Raw genomic sequence first — 20901 nt, 5'->3', positions numbered from 1 at the left:
GTAGTAGGAAAGACGGTGGTGGTGGGTTAATTCTAAGGACCTAATTTTAGTTCAGCAATTTAGTCTACAGAGATGCATAGTCTTTCTACATTCTAACATGCTTTTCACACACAAAAAAAAAAAAAACAGCCGAGTCTCACATAATGTTAACAAGTTAAAGAATAAAAATTTAATTAGAATTCAGATCTGGGTGAGAGGAAATTACCCACAAGTTTGGGGAGATGCAATCTTCCACAGAACGATGAGCAAGAGTACTCTCTCTTAGGTTGGTTTCTCAGCAGTCACTCTACCTTGGAATTTACTGAAAAACTAGCCTTACATAATAAGGGGAGGGGGCCTTAAGAAACAATAAACTGCTTGTCAGAAGAAATAAGAATCATTTTCATATATAAAGAAAGCATTGCTGACCAAGGAAGAATATCTAGTTTCATTATAAGAAATATGATATCGAGAGGCCCTTTATGGAATCTTGGTGGGCCCAGAGATCTGATGCATAAGCATAATTCAAGAGTATGCAAGAGATATAGTTGTTGGGTGAGTGAAGGCTTGAAAATCAATAATTTCATTCTGCAAAATCAAGACCTTCAACACATTCTGAGGTTGATATTGATACATACCCCAACACTCCCCAATGACATGCCCTGGGATGGGCAGTGGTGATCATAAAGGAATAGGACACATAGGCAAATGTTACACATTTATTTTAAAAAGGGTCCCCAGGTGACTGTGACTAGCAGAAGTAAAAGATGGTTACTTGGCAGAGTTGTGTATCTCCTACAACAATAATTCATATCATTTAATTTACTCACTGAAAAGGAGGGAAAGATGAAAGAGCTCTGAGACCTGTTCCTAGAGTGTATAGTGCCGAGATTCATGGGTTTAAGGACTTGGAGAGCCCACCTAAGGAGCTCCCTCTTAGCTTACTCTTTACTATAACAAGGCCATAACAGCAACAACCCTTAGTGAGTGTAAGAAGACACAGATGGGAAATTTTAAAAGAGGAAAAAACCAAGTAAGTGCACTGCTGACTTCAAAGAACACTTAGCAAATACCTACTATGTGTCACCACACAGTCATGGAGATCATAATCTTTCTTTAAAAAAAAAAAAGAAAAAACTTCTGTACATAAATGCAGAACAATACATGACAGCAATAAATAGCTAGATAGAAAGTGGCCGAGTGCCAAAGAACATGAAACAGGTAATAAAGGCTATATGTAATGAGGAAGGAGAACATTCATCATTGGCTTGTATTACTTGGAAATGCAAGAATTTGAAAATGAGGCAAGAATAAATTGCAGTTTCGAAAGGCAGACCAGAGAGCAGAGTAATTTCAACTGAACATTTTTCTACAAATGCCACATTCACCAGATAAAGTGTAATGGACTAAAATTCCAGAGGTTCAAATGGTAAACTGCGACATGAAAACAGGGAACAAGAAGAGACAATGAGAAACATGCAAAGCTAACACAGCCTCAACATCCTCAAAAACCCTCCTGGACTGGCTTCTATAGCTCCATAAAATGCTGTAACTTCTGCTTCCATGTAAGGGTTCTTTGTTTTTGTTAACTGAAGCCTTCTTATTTCTGGAAAAGTATAGGCTTTTTAGAAGACTGAGTTAAAGTCTGACAACTACTCCCTACTTGCTGAGTAATCTTGGATAAGTGATCCTCGGTTTCTTTAACAAAACAAACAAAAAAATGGAAATAGTAAAACTGCCAATAAGCGACTTTTGATGAATCATCTGTACAGAAAGATGTCATAAACCATAAAACTTTATATTATGTATTATCACTTTCTCTTCCACTTGATTTTATGTTCCCAAGGATCAAGAATCACACTGTTATCTACTGTTGGGTCATTGCTACATAGACAGTGAATGCTTAATAACGTTCATTAAGTGACTACTGCGAACTATTTAATCAGAAGAGTAACAGATTATATATTTTAATATATATATATATATTATACTTTAAGTTCTGGGATACATGTGCAGAATGTGCAGGTTTGTTACATAGGTATACACGTGCCACGGTGGTTTGCTGCACCCATCAACCTGTCATCTACATTAGGTATTTCTCCTAATGCTATCCCTCCCCTAGACCCCCACCCTCCGACAGGCTCTGGTGTGTGATGTTCCCCTCTCTGTGTCCATGTGTTTTCATTGTTCAACTCCCATTTATGAGTGAGAACATGTGGTGTTTTTTTTTTTTTGGAGGAACTTTTAAAATTAGGGTGTAACATTTGAGAGAATGCAATATTAGAATGATGTGTATAGAACTTAAATGTACATCCTGAGGGATTTTAACACATACACACTATGTAACAACCATAGATTAAAATATGAGAACATTCCCAACACCCAGAAAGTCCTGGGGATCATTTTTTAAAATACAAGTTCCCAAGCCCTGACCCTGGAAATTTTGATGTAAGAGATTGGGGTGGACATAGGAGGAAGTTAGTGTACTTTTATAAACCAGCTGAGCACAATGTAAATATTAACAGTCCAGTCATTTCTAATTTCTGATTACCCCTAACTCGGTATCTGGCCAAGATCACTAAGTTCCCATAACACCATGAGCTGCACAGTGCACAAGGGTAACAGCTTAACTAACAAAATGCTTTTTTTAAAGCACATAAAATAATTCATCCAGTAGAATTATATAAGAAAGGAGAAACTGTCAAATCAAAATCCCTAAAGAAATCTGGCTGAGACTCATGAATTAACACATATTTACATATGTTCTAGAGGATTATCAAATAAGAGAATCTTTACCTTGTCTTTAGGTTGAGAGTTTATTCTTTTAAAAATTTCTAGTGAATACATTTCTGTAGGTTTCTGCAAATAAACTTTAAGGCTTCCTAGCATATCTCAACATGCATCATCATGAAGGTGTTCTCCAGAGAGCTTGTTAAACTAACAACCTAATCCAATGTATTCACTATATTACAGTAAAGTACAAATGGAACCATAGTTGAGCCAAGACAAATTGACAGCAAGAGTAACTGGCAGTAATAATATATCCCAGCTTTGATAATTGGGCAATGTTATAAACAGAGAGCTTAGAGTTAAATTTGGTCTGGCAAACTACAACCTATGAAACACTTTAAAACCCAGAACAGGAACATGTCAGCACCACACATATATTCTACACTAATTGCGCTGTCATCCACACAATTACAGGTAGTTCCAAATCAACTCTGTTAAAATCAATGCAGGAAATTAAGGGCCACTCACAGAAAATGTTTTCAGGTTTCTGTCCACAACAACAACAAAATATATAACATGGGTAACATTTGGTTGCAGCAAACAAAATAGTTTTGAGAGTTGACATTAAGGGTCAAAGTTCCTCTCTGGACTTTCTAATGCCGGAGAGTGTGGCTGGCGTAAGTCCCCATGACTCACTGTAAACTTGGCTCCCATTTTTCACCTTTCTTCTTCTTTCCAAACAACAGGGTAGACAGAGGTAGTAACTAAAGAAAAAGGTGAGAAAGCCTCTTCATGATTGTGGGTTCTATAGATAAATGTAGTACGTATGTGTGTGTGTTGACCGGGACTGAGGTTGGGACAATAGATGTATTTCTAAGCACAGAACAATTAAAACCATTATCTTCTAGCCTGTATCAGTGGCAACTGAGTTTGGGTTTATTAATGTCTAAAAAAATTACAAAGTTCCTTGCTTAATACAACAGGTTCTTGGGATTCTGAGCCAGATGATATCAAGATTAACCAACCTGAAATAACTTTTAGCCAATCATCATAAATGCTTTTTGCTTTCTTTTGCTAAAGCAAATTAACTGAATTTTTTCAAGTTTCTTCATTATCCGGAGATATTTATTAACAGACTAACATTTTGCATTTGATATTACATTCAGAGGACTTTTTCCTTAAAAAATGTCAAGTTTCAACAATTTAAAGTTTGGAGTTTGCATGTGAATAAAGCCTCTGGTAACTGGTTTGTGACTAGAGAAGAGTGAATATTCTACCTTTTCTTCTAGGGATGTTTCTATTCTTGTATTAAAGATGTCATACATAATGCAGCACTATGGATCACATTTGCAATTCCACATAAAAGCCATGAAACTATATTCTTCAGCTGTATTCCCAACAAGTAGAAATTGTTACAGCATTTGCAATATGGTAGTAGATTTTCCCGGGGAAAGAGTACTGACTGCAGCCCTATAAAGTTGAAGACATGGGTCAAATCTGCATACTCACTTCACTGTAACCTGCAAAAACAGAAGTAAATAAAGATACCCCATTAACTATCAACACACACATTTCAAAGTGAAGCACCAGAATTCTTATATTTTTCCAGTCTCCTATAGAGTTACTGAGCATGTCAAAAAACCCAGGGCTACCTACTCATGTAGTGGTCAATCCCATCGGCTAGTTGAAGACTACAACTCAAGGAGGAAGTCAAGAACAGTGGTTTGGAGGATAGCTGCATTTAGCCTTTCACGCACTCAAAATCCACAGCTGAGTAAATACAGAAAAATACCATTTCTTCTTAATCTTGAAATAGAGATCAACAATCTACTCTGAAAAGTTTTGTTAAAATAGCTGTGACGACTGGTTATTTTTGGCTTCTGGTTCCACTAGCCCTCACTTGCTGCAGTTAATCATGTGCTAAAAACCTTCAACACAAATAACAGCACATCAATTAGAAAAAAATAGACTACCACGGAATTGGTCAGCTAAACATTGCCAGAAGCACAATAATCAAATATTCTACTATCAGTCCTTTCATAGTAACTGTAAAACATTAATACTCAAAAATAGCCATTCCTTTTGTAGATCTGTAACACTTCAATTTTCTTACTTAACATGACATTTACATAAAAGTATCTAATTATTTTATCAACTAAAGGCACTGTAGGCTAATTAAAAATGCATCATCCGTTTTTAACCAGCTTGTCAATTCCACTCTATCATAATCTGTACATTGTTTACCTTTGCAGCATCTCACTTTTCCAGGCTCACAGTTCTAAAGGTAATTCTGGACAACAAATTAAAGGGCTACAATTCTCTCCCTTCTGTAGAGATTCAGAATATCTTTTTTTTTTCCTCCTAAGCCTCCCTGGGCAGAGAGAGATTCAGGATATCTTATCAAGAATTTCTTGATGAGGATTCCTCTTAAAAAAAAAAAAAGGACAAAATAAACCTCAAAAAATCTATGCAATGGAGATAGTGAAACAAACTGCACTGTTTCCTGATGTGTCCATGTTAAGAATGTAAAATTATCTTCAAAAAATTCAAACAATCTACATTTCTTGAGCAGTTAAATATTCCTTCTTTTACCTTCAATATACAAATGGAGATTTAAAATAGCAAAGAATTGACAGTATTTAATGTGTATCAGGTACACAGTAGAATGCACAAGAAAAGTAATCTCTTCAGAAAAGAAAACCCTAATCTCCAACCTCACCCTAAACCTGGGATTCATGAATTGTTTTAATCAGAAAGGACACACCTAGGCTGTCTATATAATTGAGTTTGAAAAGCCCCATCAATTAAAAACAAGGATACATATAGTGAGTTGGAATCTAAGTTTACAGAAATTCTTCAACACACAGATAATAGCCCTCTTATTTCTCCAAATGAAACTTCCAAATTAAACCATTTACAAAACTTTTTAAGGAATCTAAGTGTTAATCTCCCAGAGTTAGAAGTTCTAATCCTAACTCAGTGCATGATCTTTCACACTATTTAAATCTAAATTAGTAATTTACGAGAAGGGAATTTTCAAAGTGGGTCAAAAGTTGCAATTGGTAGCTTATCTATTTTGCTAATAAGGGTGTCTTTCTCAACAAAATCGTATTACCACTCCACCTTAACTCCCCTAAACAATTACAGGCATACCTCAGAGATATTATGGGTTTGGTTCCAGACCACTGTAATAAAGCAAATATGGCAATAAAGTTCGAGTTGCACAAATTTTTTGGCTTCTCAATGAATATAAAAGTTATATTTATACTATGTTGTAGAGTCTATTAAGTGTGCAACAGCATGATGTCCAAGAAACAATGTACATACCTTAATTTTATAAAACTTTATTTCTAAAAAAAATGCTAATGATCATCTGAGTCTTCAGTGATTCATACTCTTCTTGCTAGTGAAGGATCTTACTTCAATGTTGATGGCTGCTAACTGATCAGGGGGTGGTAGCTGCTGAAAAATGGGGTAGGTGCAGCAATTTCTTAAAAAAAGAAAACGAGGCCGGGATCGGTGGCTCACATCTGTAATCCCAGCGCTTTGCAAGGCTGAGGGAGGCGGATCACAAGGTCAAGAGATTGAGACCATCCTGGCTAACACGGTGAAACCCAATCTCTACTAAAAATACAAAAAAATTAGTTGGGTGTGGTGGCGGGCGCCTGTAGTCTCAGCTAGTCGGGAGGCTGAGGCAGGAGAATGGCGTGAACCCGGGAGGTGGAGGTTGCAGTGAGCAGAGATTGCGCCACTGCACTCCAGGCTGGGCGACAGAGCGAGGCTCTGTCTCAAACAAACAAAAAAACCCAACTCTGCCAGATCAACTGACTCTTCCTTTCACAAAAGATTTCTCTGTAGTAATGCTGTTTGACAGCATTTTACCCACAGGACTTCTTTAAAATTGGAGTCAATCCTCTCAGACTCTGCTATTGTTTTATCAACTAAGTTTATGTAATATTCTAGATTTTTTGTTGCCATTTCAATAATGTTCACAGTATCTTCACCAGGAGTAGATTCCATCTCAAGAAACCACTTTCCTTTGCTCAATCATATGAAGCAGCTCCTCATCCATTAAAGTTTTATAATGAGATTGCAATTCAGTCACCTCATCAGGCTCCACTTCTAATTCTACTCCTCTTGTGATTTCCACCACATCTGCAATTATTTCCCCTGCCCAAGTCTTGAACCCCTCAAAATCATCCATGAGGGTTAGAATAAACTTCTTCCAAACTTCTGTTAATGTTGATATTTTGACCTTCTCCCATGAATCACAAATGGTCTTAATGGCATCTAGAATGGTGAGTCCTTTCTAGATGATCTTCCATTTACTTTGGCCGATCCATGAGAGGAATCAGTATCTATGGCAGCTATAGCCTTGTAAAATGTAGTTCTTAAATAATTATGACTTAAAACTCAAAATGACTCCTTAATCCATGGACTACAGAATCAATGCTGTGTTACCAGGCATGGAAACATAAATTTCCTTGTACCTCTCCATCAGAGCTCTTGGGTGACAAGGTGTATTGTCAATGAACAATAATATTTTGAAAGGAATCTTTTTCTCAGCAGTAGGTCTATACAGTAGGCTTAAAATATTCAGTGAATGATGCTATAAACAGATGTGCAGTCATCCAGGCTTTGTTGTTCCATTTACAGAACACAGGCAGAGCGGATGTAGCAGAATTCTTAAGTGCCCTAGGATTTTTCAGAAGGATAAATAAGCACTGGCTTCCACTTAAAGTCACCAGCTACATTAGCCCCTAACAAGAGGGTCATACTGTCCTTTGAAGCCAGGGACTGACTTTTCCTCCTGTAAGTCCTGGATGGCATCTTCTTCCAATAGAAGGTTATTTTCGCTATTTTGAAAATCTGCTGTTTAGTGTAGTCACTTTCATCAGCGATCTCAGCTAGGTATTTTTGTTAACTTGCTACAGCTTCTACATCAGCAACTGCTGCTTCACCTTGCACTTTTATGGAGATGGCTTCTTTTCTTAGCCTCATGAACCAACCTCTGCTAACTCCAAGCTTTTCTTCTGTAACTTCTTTACTAGCATGGTAGTCCTCATGCTAGTATTTTCTGTCTTGAGAACTTTTAAAGCTTAAAAATTACTAAGGACACTAAGAAACTTTTTTTATGTATCTTACATCATTGATATTTATCCCATATGAAATTATAACTTGACAAAAATGTTTTCATTTAAAATTAAAATAATTAGATGTCAACATAAAAACTTACTCTTTTATGAAAAATAACTGCAACTTAAAAAATAATGAGAGTGGCCTGGCTTAAAGGAAGCTACTTGGATTTTCATGTCTATATCTGTATTTAATCTATTTATATGAATATGAAGAAAGCACACTATTACATAAATATGTAGTTGGAAAAGGAAAGATCTCATGGATGCCCTAAGAGGGACTTGGGGACTTCTATGGATCTTTGGACCACATTTGAGAACCACTGGTATAGAACCAGTGAACCTAAAGGTTAATATAAGATCCAATTTCCCCATACTCCTTACGTGCCAACTGACTTATTTCTAGTCTTGCAGAAACCAACTGATGTACTAAGTGTAAATAACAGTAAAAGGGTTTCCCAGTCTCAACAAAATGTGAATATTTAAGTAAATAAAGGTAAGGGATAGTGGAATAAGCTAGTCAAAATTTCAAACCAAGACATTCCATTTCTGCTACGTATGTAAGAAGAGTAAAAACATGTTTCATGGAACTCTCAAAGGATTCTGGGTAAGCAGTTAAATATGTTCAATTTTAGTTTTTCAGATGTAATCTCTCACCTAGAATCCTATACCTTTCCATATGTTAAGATGCTGACAAACGCTTACCACTGATACTTCAAAATGTGATAAAGTCCAACAGCGATTAACAGTGACATTCTAAGACATCATCACCCTCTTGGGGATAAAAATAGAATAATCCCCATTTTATTAGAGGTCAAAATATCACCTGGCTAATAAAATCAGTACTAATTTTAGACACTGTTTTGTTTTTCTCTTGTGACAAAGCATATTTAATACGAATACAAAATTAGGGGCTGTCACCTCTCCAATTTAGGCTTCACTTTTGACTATTTACAGGCTTAACTAAGGCTCAACTCCGATTTCTAGATTTGCATCATTTGCATTTTACCATCAACACAAGCATGATTCTCATAACAACATTAATGGAGACACCACTCAGCACTGGAAGAGCTTTTTTTTTTTTTTTTCAAACATAGTTCAGCTAGCAAGACTATTCTCATAAATCTCAGCCTGCAGCAGCTACTGAAAAAAGGCTGCAACACTTTCCTTAGAAAGGGAAATGACTGGTGCATGTTCTTCCTAAGAGGCTTCAGGACTAATGAAAAAAAGACATCTATTCAGGCCACAGGTACTGTTGCGTGGACTTGTAAAAACAACTTGGAACACCGGTGCCCTTCTCTTCTGCCTCTTTGCTGAGCCTTTCCCATAGCTAGCTGTACCACAGCTGGAATATGATGAGTGACACTAAACAGAAATTACCTTAGTCCAACTGTCTTGCTTTACAGGCAGAAGTGAACACTGTCAGGTCTTAATAATAGGATCTCTCTTTGCAACTAATAGTTGAAAATGTCACAATTTTAATTGTGTAGTGAAGGGATTATACTGATATTTCAGAATTTTAAAAATTCCTCACTAAGGTGCCATCTTATTGTTTTTATTAAATCTAAAGAATCATCTTTTTGATGGATCAAAAAGTGAGATGGTTTATAAAGTAACAGAGGCCATGAATACAAAATGTACAGTTACATAGTCATTTTTTGGCATTGGCAGCTCTGAATTTTCAGAAAGAAGTTCACAAGCACAATTAAAATATATTTATGTAAGCTTAAAATGGCTGCTTCAACACATTCACATAAATGCCATTATGTTTTTTTTTCAGCCAAACATTTTTGTCATAAATAAAGCTTAGATTTAATTTAAAATCAGCACAGTGTCACATATTACTTGTACCTACACAAAATAAAAATATGACGAGTGCAAGAGCTAAAGCTGTGTGAAGTGTGGTTGTTTACATGACCTTTACTTTCACAGAGAAGGACAGAGCATTTAATTTAATACGAACATTTAAAGAAATCCATATTGGGGGCAGGGGGGACAGTGATGATGTTGCTTGAAAATCTAGTTTGAATATCAGTAACTGTATAATCTCACAAGTGACTGAGGTAATCTTTTGGGAAACTAACCTTTCAGATCTGCAGACTTCTTAAGGGACTTTTGAAAATGAGTATTAAAAGCTTGCTAGTATTCTCTCTTGCAAGTGGGAATCTTCAAGAGGGAAATTTAGGTGATAAATACCAACGAGCAAAAATGGTTATTTTACAACAGGCAAGTGCCTATTTGTACTGAAGACAGAGACAGAGACAGAGAGAGAGAGAGAGAGAGAGAGAAACAGAAAATGACTCTCATTATTCCAAAAGTCTGAGATGAATTGTTACCACCACAAAGCATCCAAATTTTCAAAATCTGGTAGGGACACTGCCTTTTTTTGAGTTGCTTTGTCTTGGGGTTACTGTATGGTACAGAAAATTATTTTAAAAAATTAAGTAGCTATTCAAAAATCAGGTACAGGCAATGAGAAGTCCCTTCTTTAATGTATCAAAACACATAAAGTAGGTTTCTAAAAGTAAGAAAAATTAAAAACAAAACTTTTCCTAAATATTTAAATCACTAACCATTTATTGAGTACTATGCCAGCAGTGTGCTAGGTGTTCTGGGACAGAGCAAAGTAGCATAAAATAAAGCCTCTGCTAATTTGGTGCTTAGTCTCTAAACTTGTGCAGAGAGATGACATTCTCTTGCCAAGAACATAGAAGAAGGTTTGAATAAATAAAGACAAACTATATTCCTTTATGAGAAGACCCAAAAGTTTATTAAAATGTCAATTATTCTGAAAAAAATCTATATATTCAATATAATCCAAATCAGAAGCTACTGATACATACTATAAAGGTATATTCCAGTTTCAGAAATATACAGGTTGACCAATAAAACAAAATAAAGAGCCTAGGAACAGATCTATGTCTTTATGTAATAGTATTAGCATTTTAAACTAGGACTATTCAATGAATGGTTTTTGCATAACTGGTTATCCACTTGGGAAAAAAAAATAAAGGTAAATCTCTATGCCTTAAATACAAAATAAATTCCAGATGGGCTCAAGAGCTAACGATAGAAAAAGATAAACCATGAAAGTATTAAATGTACATAGAAAAATATTTTTATAACTCTACGATTCAGACAGCCTTCTAAGAAAGACAGAAAACTGGAAGACAAAAGACCAACAGACTTAAAGTTTAAAAAATTCTAATGAATACAAGGCACTCAAATGAAAATTAAAAGCCAAGTAACATACCAAAAGAAACTGGCAATATATGTAACAAATACTTATCTAGAATTCTTTTTTTACATATATGTAACAAATACTTATCCAGAATTTGTTACATATATATATATATATAAAAGAATTCCTACAAATCAGTAAGAAAAAAATAGCTAATAAAAAATAAATAAGCAAAGAACAACACTGATAGGCAAATCACTGGAGACTTATAAATTGCTAATAAACACATAAAACAATGCTGAATCTCACTATCAGGAGATGTCTGGAAAACACAAGTTAAAATGAGCTATTCTTTTGCCCAACTTATTAAAAAAAAAGAAGAAGAAACAAAGAAAAAACCCACCTAATATTGGTAATGCTGTGGTAAACAATCACTCTCAAACATCATTCTTAGGAATATAAAGTCATACAGTCATTTTGGAAGGTAATATTGCCATGCAAATCAAAATTTTAAATATACATATTCTCTGACTTGTTAGTTCCTCTTCTATGTATTTATCATGGAAAAATAACATATGCACCATTAGCCACGTACAAAACTGTTTACTTGACATGGCTCATAATAGTGAAATATTAAAAACAACCTCCAGAGAAGAGAGTAGAGAAAAGGATAGTAAGGGCAATATAGAATATTATGCAGGAGTAAGGCAGATCTCCATGTGTAGACTTGGAAAGAGCTCTAAAATATATTAAGTTAAAAAGCAGTTATAAAACAATATATACAGTATGCTGTCATTTATATAAAAATAAAATCTTTTTTTTTTTTTTTTAGACTAAGTTTCATTCTTGTTGCCCAGGCTAGAGTGATCTCGGCTCACTGCAACCTTCGCCTCTCGGGTTCAAGCGATTCTCCTGCCTCAGCCCCCCGAGTAGCTGGAATTACAGGGGCCTGACACCATGCCAGGCTAATTTTTGTATTTTTAGTAGAGGTGGGGGTTTCACCATGTTGACCAGGTTAGTCTTGAACTCCTGACCTGGTGATCTGCCCACCTCAGCCTCCCAAAGTGCTGGGATTACAGGCGCAAGCCACAGCACCCAGCCAAGATAAAATCTTGTATGTAAACATGTACACAGCTGCATAGAAAAAATACAACCCATAATGAATAAACAGCGGTTATTTCTGTAAAAAGTAGGAATTGGGTGGTGGTGATTGATGGTGGTGACGTTAGAATATTTTCATGTTCTATTCTATCTAAACCTGTGTCTTTGTAATTCAAAAATTGAGAATGTAGTCATGTTTTACTTGCATACTTAAAAATAGGATTAAAAGTTTTGAAAAAGAAAAGCAAGCCAGAAAATGAATAACTTAAAAATCATGGTTTTGCTTTAATCTGGTTCTTATTTTGACTACAAATGGAAGGTCAGATGATACTACCAGTACTTAAACAAGTTCCTATCCAACTGACATTATGGAACAGAAAGAATTTCTATAAGAAAACACTGCTGAACTGCTCAACTCCTGTATTTTGACAGAGATTAACTTAATGATCTCACACATTGATTTTTGATAAATTATGGCTCTTCACTTCAATATAGCATATAACTGTACATTATTATACTGTACTGCAAAGTATCAATCTTTTCAGAACACAGCCCTAATAAAAGCAGCATGCTTTGCAGAACCAGCTTTGGGATGAATGAATAAATGCACTGGGGAAAAAAACACCGTTAAATTAAAATCAAAAGAGACATTTAAAGTTTGGGCATTCTTCATTATGGGAAAGAATCTTCCACTTTGAGACTATTATATATCGGAAAAACTCCATCTGTTGTATAATTATCTCTGATAAATGGCCTGATGCTTTGAGCTTCATTAGAGAAAAGCAAAGAGAAAGACACACACACAGAGAACTGTAAATAAATCTCCCCACCATATTTCACTTAAAACCAGCCCAGCAGGAAGTCATAAAATATTTTTTAATAGGCAATATTTTCTAAATGCTTTACTAGAAGAAACCAGCCTGTTTTGCCCAATATCTGGCCTCCTGAAGTAGGCATAGTCTGAAAAAGGGAACACTGGTTTCATTTAGAGATTATTAGAAATTTAATTGGTAAAAACAAACAAATCAGAAGTTTAGCCGCTTGGTGGCAGTGATACTAAATTTCCAGGGAACAGATTAAGGCTTGTCAGACAGAAATGAAGATATGTAGCCAATGACGCCCAATGGATGTTCAAAGACCCGGGGCAGTCTAGCAAGGACATCTGTTAAAAGGCACTACCATTTTTTAAATATCCCTGAGGGAGCTACGATATCACCAGAAACCAGTTTCCAAGGAAACAATGGAAATCTGTGTTCAACCAAATTAATTTAACCAGAGGTGGAGTACGTTCTGAAATTTCTATTTTGGGAATCAGTGTCATATTAAAGGAAAATCCAGTCAGCACCTGGAAACGAAGCTTTAGTCATTAAAAATCCTCACTAACATGCCAGTTAATATGGTTCTCACTTTTTCTGTATATTTTATTTTACTACAACAAAAGTATGTCTTGGGTGGATGCAGTAGACAAGAGCAGGAAAAAAACCAGAGTCCCGTATTATAGATGCAAAAGGCCCAGAGTTCAGTTGTGGCCCTCTCTTGGGACTTAAGGAGGGTCACTATCTAAACCTCCCTTTTTCATCTATAGAATAGGAAGGAGAATATTTGCCCTACCTATGCTGCACACTGTCAAGATGATTCTAGGAACATGTGTATCAAAGAACTCTGTAAAACAGGGTTTTGCAAACTTTTTCTGTAATAGGCCATTGGGTCTCCACAGCAACTACCCAACTCTGCTATTGTAGCACAGAAGCAGCCACAGACAATACAGTAACAAATGAGTGGGGCTGTGTTCCAATCAAACTTTACTTATAAACACTGAATTTGGAATTTCATGTATTTCCCACATTTCACAAAATATTTATTTGATTTTTTTCAGTTGTTTAAAAGAATAAAAATCATTCTTAGCTTGTGGGCAGCATAAAAACAGATGATAGGCTGGATTTGGCCTGTAGGCTATAGCTTGTCAACCCCTGTTGTAAACTATAGTTTTATGTAAGAGCTGGTTGCTGTTTAATTCTTAGTATGTACCTCCACAGAGCTTAGAAGACTGTTTTGTATGAGATAGGTACTCTCTAACTGCTAGTTTAGAATATCAGACTATTTGAAAACAAGTCCATTTCTTGCCATTAATCCTCCCTAGCAGCAGGTATCAGTTCTCTTCCTCTCCTGCCTAGAAAGAGACAGACCAGCCATGACCCCCCAAACACCTCCATTTCCATTCAATATGCTAGTGGGACTGGGAAGAAAAATCCAAAAACTCAGGTAGACATGCACATCATGTTACCAAACAGGTCATAAATAGGGATGCTCAGGCCTTTAAAAGCATAACAACAGAAAAGCTGACTTGTATAAAGAGCTAAGAGGGCACTTCCTCATCTTGTGAGCAATCATCTGCCTGTACTTGAGAACAACAAAACAACTGATTCCAGCGTTCTAACTACAACCTGGCATTATCCTTTCTCTCTGCAAAAGTTGGGTCAAAAAACTTAACTACAAATCACACTTTATCTCCCTCAGAAAAAATCTAAAAACTGGGAGAACAGTAAATAGGCAGTAGCAAAAGCAGAAAGAAATGTTTTATTCTTTTTAAGAGTTTGTCCAACACACCTTCCACTGTATAGCCTAATTTGCATGCAATGTCCTTTAGATCGTAAATCATGATAGAGAATGGCAGCTATGGTGTGGTGGCAGAGACCCAGGCCCTTGGAGCCAGAGTGCTCTGTGATCTTGGGCAAGATAATCATCCTGTGCCTCCATCTTCACACCTGTGAAATGGATAAAATAGAAGTACCTGCCTTACAGGGTAATTATGAAGATGAAGTAAGTTAATACAGTTGATCCTTGAACAAGAGCAGTTTGAACTGTGTGGGTCCATTTAGATGCACATTTTTTTCAACCAAATACAGATGGAAAATAAGTATTGCCCACATATATGGAGGGCCAACTTTTCACTAAGTGGGTTCCACAGGGCTGACTGTGAGACTTGAGTATGCGCCGAATCCCCTGTGTATAATGAGGGATGATTGTGCATATAAGGTACTTGGAACAGTGCCTGGTACTTAGCAAGGATACTTGTTGTGAGCCGTTACCATTACTATCGCATTTAAATGCTGTAACAAGTCCTTTAGTCACTATTTGAATTTTGTTTACATATTTTTGGAAAAGGCTTCCAACGGCTAAGCTCCATGGACTCTTCTGCAGACACACACAGTTTGGGACAGGGAGACATATGTTTATGTTCAGATACAGAAATATCACTTAAGAGCTTTTAGATACCTGCTTCATTTACCTGCAGGGAAGCGTATTAAGAAATTCTTTTGGGTAAAAATTAGTCCTGTTTCTAAGTTTTACATACTTTTGTCAATAGTTATTGCTCTATCTGCAGTCTTTTCAAAAGAAAATGTACCCAGACTCTCACCACTTTCTGTTGATATGTTCATAGTTCAAGTTCATGTTGATAGTAAGAAGGTGAAAGTAGATTTAAGCAACATCTGTTTTCTTGTACATTAGGAAAAAAAATAATAAAACCTTCCACAAGCCCCAAACAAAATGTAGCACTTCTAGCTCTATGCAATAACAATGGATCCATAACTACTAAATAGTTTACAAATTTCACGGTACTTGGATTTGGCATCCCAAATTCATTTTCCAACAACTGCTACATCTTACTTCTCCACATCTCTTCAGGAGAAGCTAAGAAGGAACCCACAGATGAAATTCTGGTCCCTTGAGGATACTAAAATATCAACATAGGCAATCTCCTGCTGCCTCTTCCGCCATCCTTTGTCACCTTGGTAGATCACAGCTTAAAAAATTTGCAAGATGTAGATGGATCAGGCTGTTTAGTGTCTCACTTGGGTCTTCACTGCTACTAGGCAATCACTTTATCTCCCATTGATTTTTAAAGCATCCACCCTGACAGCTCTTAACAAACTCAAGGTACTTTTCTTACGCCATATTCTCAACCCCCAAATCTGGCACACATCTTCCTCACTCTAGCACAGCTGCTTTCAACCTAGGTGAGGGAGCAAAGCTGACCTGAAAAAGCTTTGCAAATGACATGCCTGTTAACCACTACTAGCTACTTCCCCCCTTCCACCCCAAAATTCTTATGCACCTGTTGGGGAGAACAAGCCAGACTCCCAGGGAGAGACATATGTAGTCAAAAAGGTGACCTCCTTATTTATAAAGACCTAATCTTACTCATTTCTATACTCAGCACTTAACTTAGTGTCTAACATACAGCAGACACTCAGCAAAGACTGCTAAATGAATATACAAACCACTGAAACAGTTTATTAAATAGTTTATTTAGGTAATCCCTCTTATGATCACCAAATCCAAGTGCCTCTTTGTCAGTTTACAGCCTCGGTAGCATTTTCATAATATTGTGACAATATCTTATAGTGACTGAAAGCATAGGCTCTAGATCCAAATTCATGTGTTAAGAGCATGGGCTTCACTGCCTTGCAATAGCTCTATAACTTAGGGCAGAAAGTTAATGAACCTCTCTAAGTTTTAATGTCCTCATCTGTAAAAACAAGTATAATAAAAGCACCTACCCTAATAGGCTATATTGAAAATTAAATGTTACCGCATCTAAAGAACTTTGAAGAATGTCTAGAATATAGCAAATGTTTCATAAATGTGAGCTAACATTATTATTATCTAAACTGAAATTCGTTCTTTGGCTTTTGTGACCTTGCCCACTATCATTCTCCTCCTGACTTCTTCAGTTGCCTCCTCTATCCTTTTTGCTCCTTAAGTGCAGAAGTTTCACTCACAGGTTTATCCTCACTGCTTTTCTTTTCTTTCTTTTTTTTTTTTGTGAGACAGAGTCCCACTCTGTCGCCAGGCTGGAGTGCAGTGGAGTGATCTCGGCTCACTGCAACCTCACCTCCCGGGTTCAAGCGATTCCCCTGCCTCAGCCTCCCGAGTAGCTGGGACTACAGGTGCGCACTACCATGCTCGGCTAATTTTTGTATTTTTGTAGAGACGGGGTTTCACCAGGTTGGCCAGGATGGTCTTGATCTCTTCACCTTGTGATCTGCTCGCATCGGCCTCCCAAAATGCTGGGATTACAGGCGTGAGCCATGTGCCCAGCCCTCCCTGCTTTTCTTTGCTCTCACTCTTGGCAACCTCACTTAACACCTATGGCTTAAACTATCATCTCCATGTGGATGAAGCCAATCTTGACTTCACTCCTCTGAGCTCCAACTCAACCTGCCCAGTTGCACACAATACAAACTTAAGTCATCACCATATCTCCAACTGGCAAATCTCATTTCCCTAGATCTGTAGAAACTTGAGGAATTAGGAAAGAGATTAGCTTCAGAGAGTATAAGTCTAAGAGAAACATACAATGGTTCAAAGCAATGATGTCACCAAGAAGAGAGAGAAAGGAAACGAAGCTAGTAGAACTAGACATCTTTAATCAGGCTGAAGGTATTCATATTAAAAAAAAAAAAAAAAAAAAGCCCATAGCAGTCTACAGTGGCCTAAACTGGCAAGTAACTCTTGGTTATGATGTGGATTTCCACATATCTTAATGACAGGGAGAGAAAGCATTCCTCTTGCCCACACAAATATTATTCTCTATGACAGTTGTATTTCACATTGTGAATTAACTGATTAAAAGTATGAACTCTGAAGCCAAATGCCTAAATTTGAATCCTGGTTCTGGTATCTACTCGTTTGTGACCACAGGCAAATTACTTAATCTTTTTGTGTCTAATTCCTCATCTATGGAATGAGTATAATGACACTATCTACCTCATTGGGTTATCACGAAAAACAATGAGAAAATATGCATGTAGAATAATGTCTCATATACAAAGTGCTCAATAAATGGTAGCTACTGTTATCTCAGCCTCACATGCATTTTGGTGGCTTGAATTGATTTGTGGTGGCCCGATCCTGGTATGCACGAATCCAATCCAGTTTCCATCAGATGAGATCCTGACCAACTTTTTCCTTAGACCAGGAGTTCTTAACCCAAGGGCCATAATAAGCTGTAGAGAAATTTTATGCAAAATTGGGTATAAATGGATGGTGTATATTTTTCTAGGACAAGAGGCCACAGCTGTCATCAACTCCTCAGTAAGTACATGATCTTGAAAAGATTTTTTAAAACAAAACAAAATCTACTGCCTTAGCATGACCACTACCATTTTCACCGTTTTTTTTTTTCTCCTCTTATATGATTTCTACACCTTGGCCTCTATTCAATAAGTTATAATATTTAAAAAATTCTTTCTTTGCAATGTTATTCCTGTTTAATCCTTTCCATTTTCAATACAACCAAGGTTACTTCTCCAAAGAACTGTAATAATATCACCTCCTCTGCTCAAAAACATGGCTACTGTCTCAAGTCCAAATAGCTTAGCTGGACATTTAGCCTCTATGTCTTGGCCACAACTTACCCTTCCAGCCTTGTCTTTCATTCTCTTCCACAAATGGCCCTAAGACAGTCATTTGCCATTGAGAAACTCCATGCAGCTTTCCTTCCACAGCTCATTCTACTCTGTCTAGTATGTCTCTTCACCACCTTCTATCCATCTTTACCACCACTTCCTCAGTAGGTCAATGCCCTTCAACAGTTGCTGTCTTTAATACATAAGGACCAACATGGGTGTATGCAAACATGTATCAGGGTTTGTCAAGCTCATCATTACTGGTATCGTGAGCTGAATGATTTTTTGTTGCAGAGGACTGTCCTATGTGATGCAGGACATTTAGCAGCATTCCTGGTCTCCAGACATTATCAAATGTTCTGGGGCTGTGGGGTGGGAGATCACTCTTGGTTGATAACCACTGATAAACTACAACAAATATATTTAATTTCCCCTTCAAATTCTTTGAGGACAAAGACTATGACCTTGCTTATTTTATATTCTCGATATTACCAAATATAGCAGTTTATGACAGATTTAGATAAATATTTGTTTTCTGCTAACCTTTCCAAAGTTAGTATACAGAACACAGAACATTCTAACCTACTGTGTTTCTAGATATTCATGAAACTTGAAATACTAAATTTCAACTTAGCTTTCAAAGAAAAAAAAGGCCAGGTCTCACAAGGCTGCAGTGTAATGGTTAAGACCACAGTCCACTGTAACCCTGAACTCCTGGGCTCAAGAGATCCTCCTGCCTCAGCTTCCCAAGTAGCTGGGACCATAAACACACACCACCACGCCTGGCTAATTTTTTTTTTTTTTTGGTAGAGACAAGAGTCTCACCATGTTGTCTAGGCTGGTCTCAAATTCCTGGCCTCAAGCAATCCTCCTGGCTTGGCCAAGTAGAGCTTTTAAAAGGCAAAAACTACTATGTCATAATATCCCTATAATTTTCAACAAATACTATCAACTATATTTGTGCCCTAAAAGAGATGTATATCTCACATACCGCCAGGGATGGGGGATGGAGGGAAAGAGATGTATATTATGACATTATAAAAATTAAGCAGACAATGGGCTGGGCATGGTGGCTCATGCCTGTAATCCCAGTACTTTGGGAGACCAAGGTGGTTAGATCATTTGAGGTCAGGAGTTCGAGACCAGCTTGGCCAACATGGTGAGATCCTGTTTCTACTAATTAGCCAGGCATGGTGGCAGGCACCTGTAATGCCAGCTACTCAGGAGGCTGAGGCAGGAGAATCACTTGAACCCAGGAGGTAGAGGTTGCAGTCAGCTGAGATGGTACAACCGCACTCCAGCCTGGGCAACAGAGTGAGTATCTAAAAAAAAAAAAAAGAAATTAAGTAGACAGTGAACTTCTAACCTACATAATAGCATTCCAACACTGAAGACTTACAGAAGAGTAATACCATCTCCTCCTTCCTTTAAACATCCTATGTTCTATGAAGTATAGTGCTATCTCAGTTAAATGCTTAGAAACAGTCAAGGCCCAGTTAGTGACAGAGGTAAAGCTTCAATCTAAGGCTCCTAAATTAGGGTTTTAGGGTTAGAATCCCTTACTGGTCCCTTGCTGCATATTAGAAATCCTCTGCGGAGTTAAAAATAACAGATCCCTGGGCCTCCCTCCAGATCAATTAAATGAGAACGAGGGAATGGTGCTAAAGATTAAAATTGTTTTAAAAACCCCCAGTGGATTCTAATGTGCAGACATAGGTGAGAGCCACTGCTCTCTAGACTGGTTCAAACTTCATGTACTTTGACGGTATAAAAGGCTATTTCTTCAGGAATGGCTGAAACTTATTCTCTAACTTGCTGAGCTTGGGCCTTGTATGTGGACACTTATCTTGAATTAAAAGAAGTGCTGTTTTTTCTGGGGTCAGGCATTACCAAGATGCTCATCTAAAGTTCTTAAGCTGCTCTCTCTACCACCCCTCAGAAGCCAGACACTTACACTCCTCTTTACTCGGTGAAGTTACATTCAGTTCTGTCGGAAGCGGCTGCTGGCTGGGACTAAGAGTTGGCGTGGTTATCGAGGTATTGTTGTTGTCACTGGTGGTCTCTTCGGAAAACAAATCTGATTGGCTGTTACTTGTACTTGGAGCGGAATCATCGTCTGGCTGTTTCTTTTGAAAATCTGAAGAAAAATAGAAAACGAGCTTAATTAAGGAGTTCACAGTCTCTGAGGATTAGAAAACAATGGAAGTTGGTACAAAAATTAAATGCAACAACACCAATAATAAAGACTGATCTGGGTGACTAAAAAACCATGGGAGTAAAACACTGGTCAAAAACGTTTAAGATTAGTGGAAGGTACTAGAGTTAAAAGTTTTCCAAGGTCCCTTATTATTCAGAAGAATGC

At 37.1% G+C, this 20901-nt stretch overlaps 1 protein-coding gene across 4 annotated transcripts in view; it reads right to left on the bottom strand.

The window, feature by feature from the left end:
* ZFAND3 (zinc finger AN1-type containing 3) overlaps positions 1 to 20901 on the bottom strand; it is a 334898-nt gene that overhangs the window by 72356 nt on the left and 241641 nt on the right. For all 4 annotated transcript variants that reach the window (NM_021943.3, XM_011514790.3, NM_001410904.1 and 1 more), the window contains one exon: positions 20494 to 20676. In NM_021943.3, the coding sequence (NP_068762.1) occupies positions 20494 to 20676 (183 nt within the window). The remainder of the gene's footprint in view (positions 1 to 20493; positions 20677 to 20901) is intronic.

This window comes from Homo sapiens, chromosome 6, assembly GCF_000001405.40.
Source record: "Homo sapiens chromosome 6, GRCh38.p14 Primary Assembly".
NCBI classification, from domain to species: Eukaryota; Metazoa; Chordata; class Mammalia; order Primates; family Hominidae; genus Homo; species Homo sapiens.
This window is presented reverse-complemented; position numbering and strand designations above follow the sequence as displayed.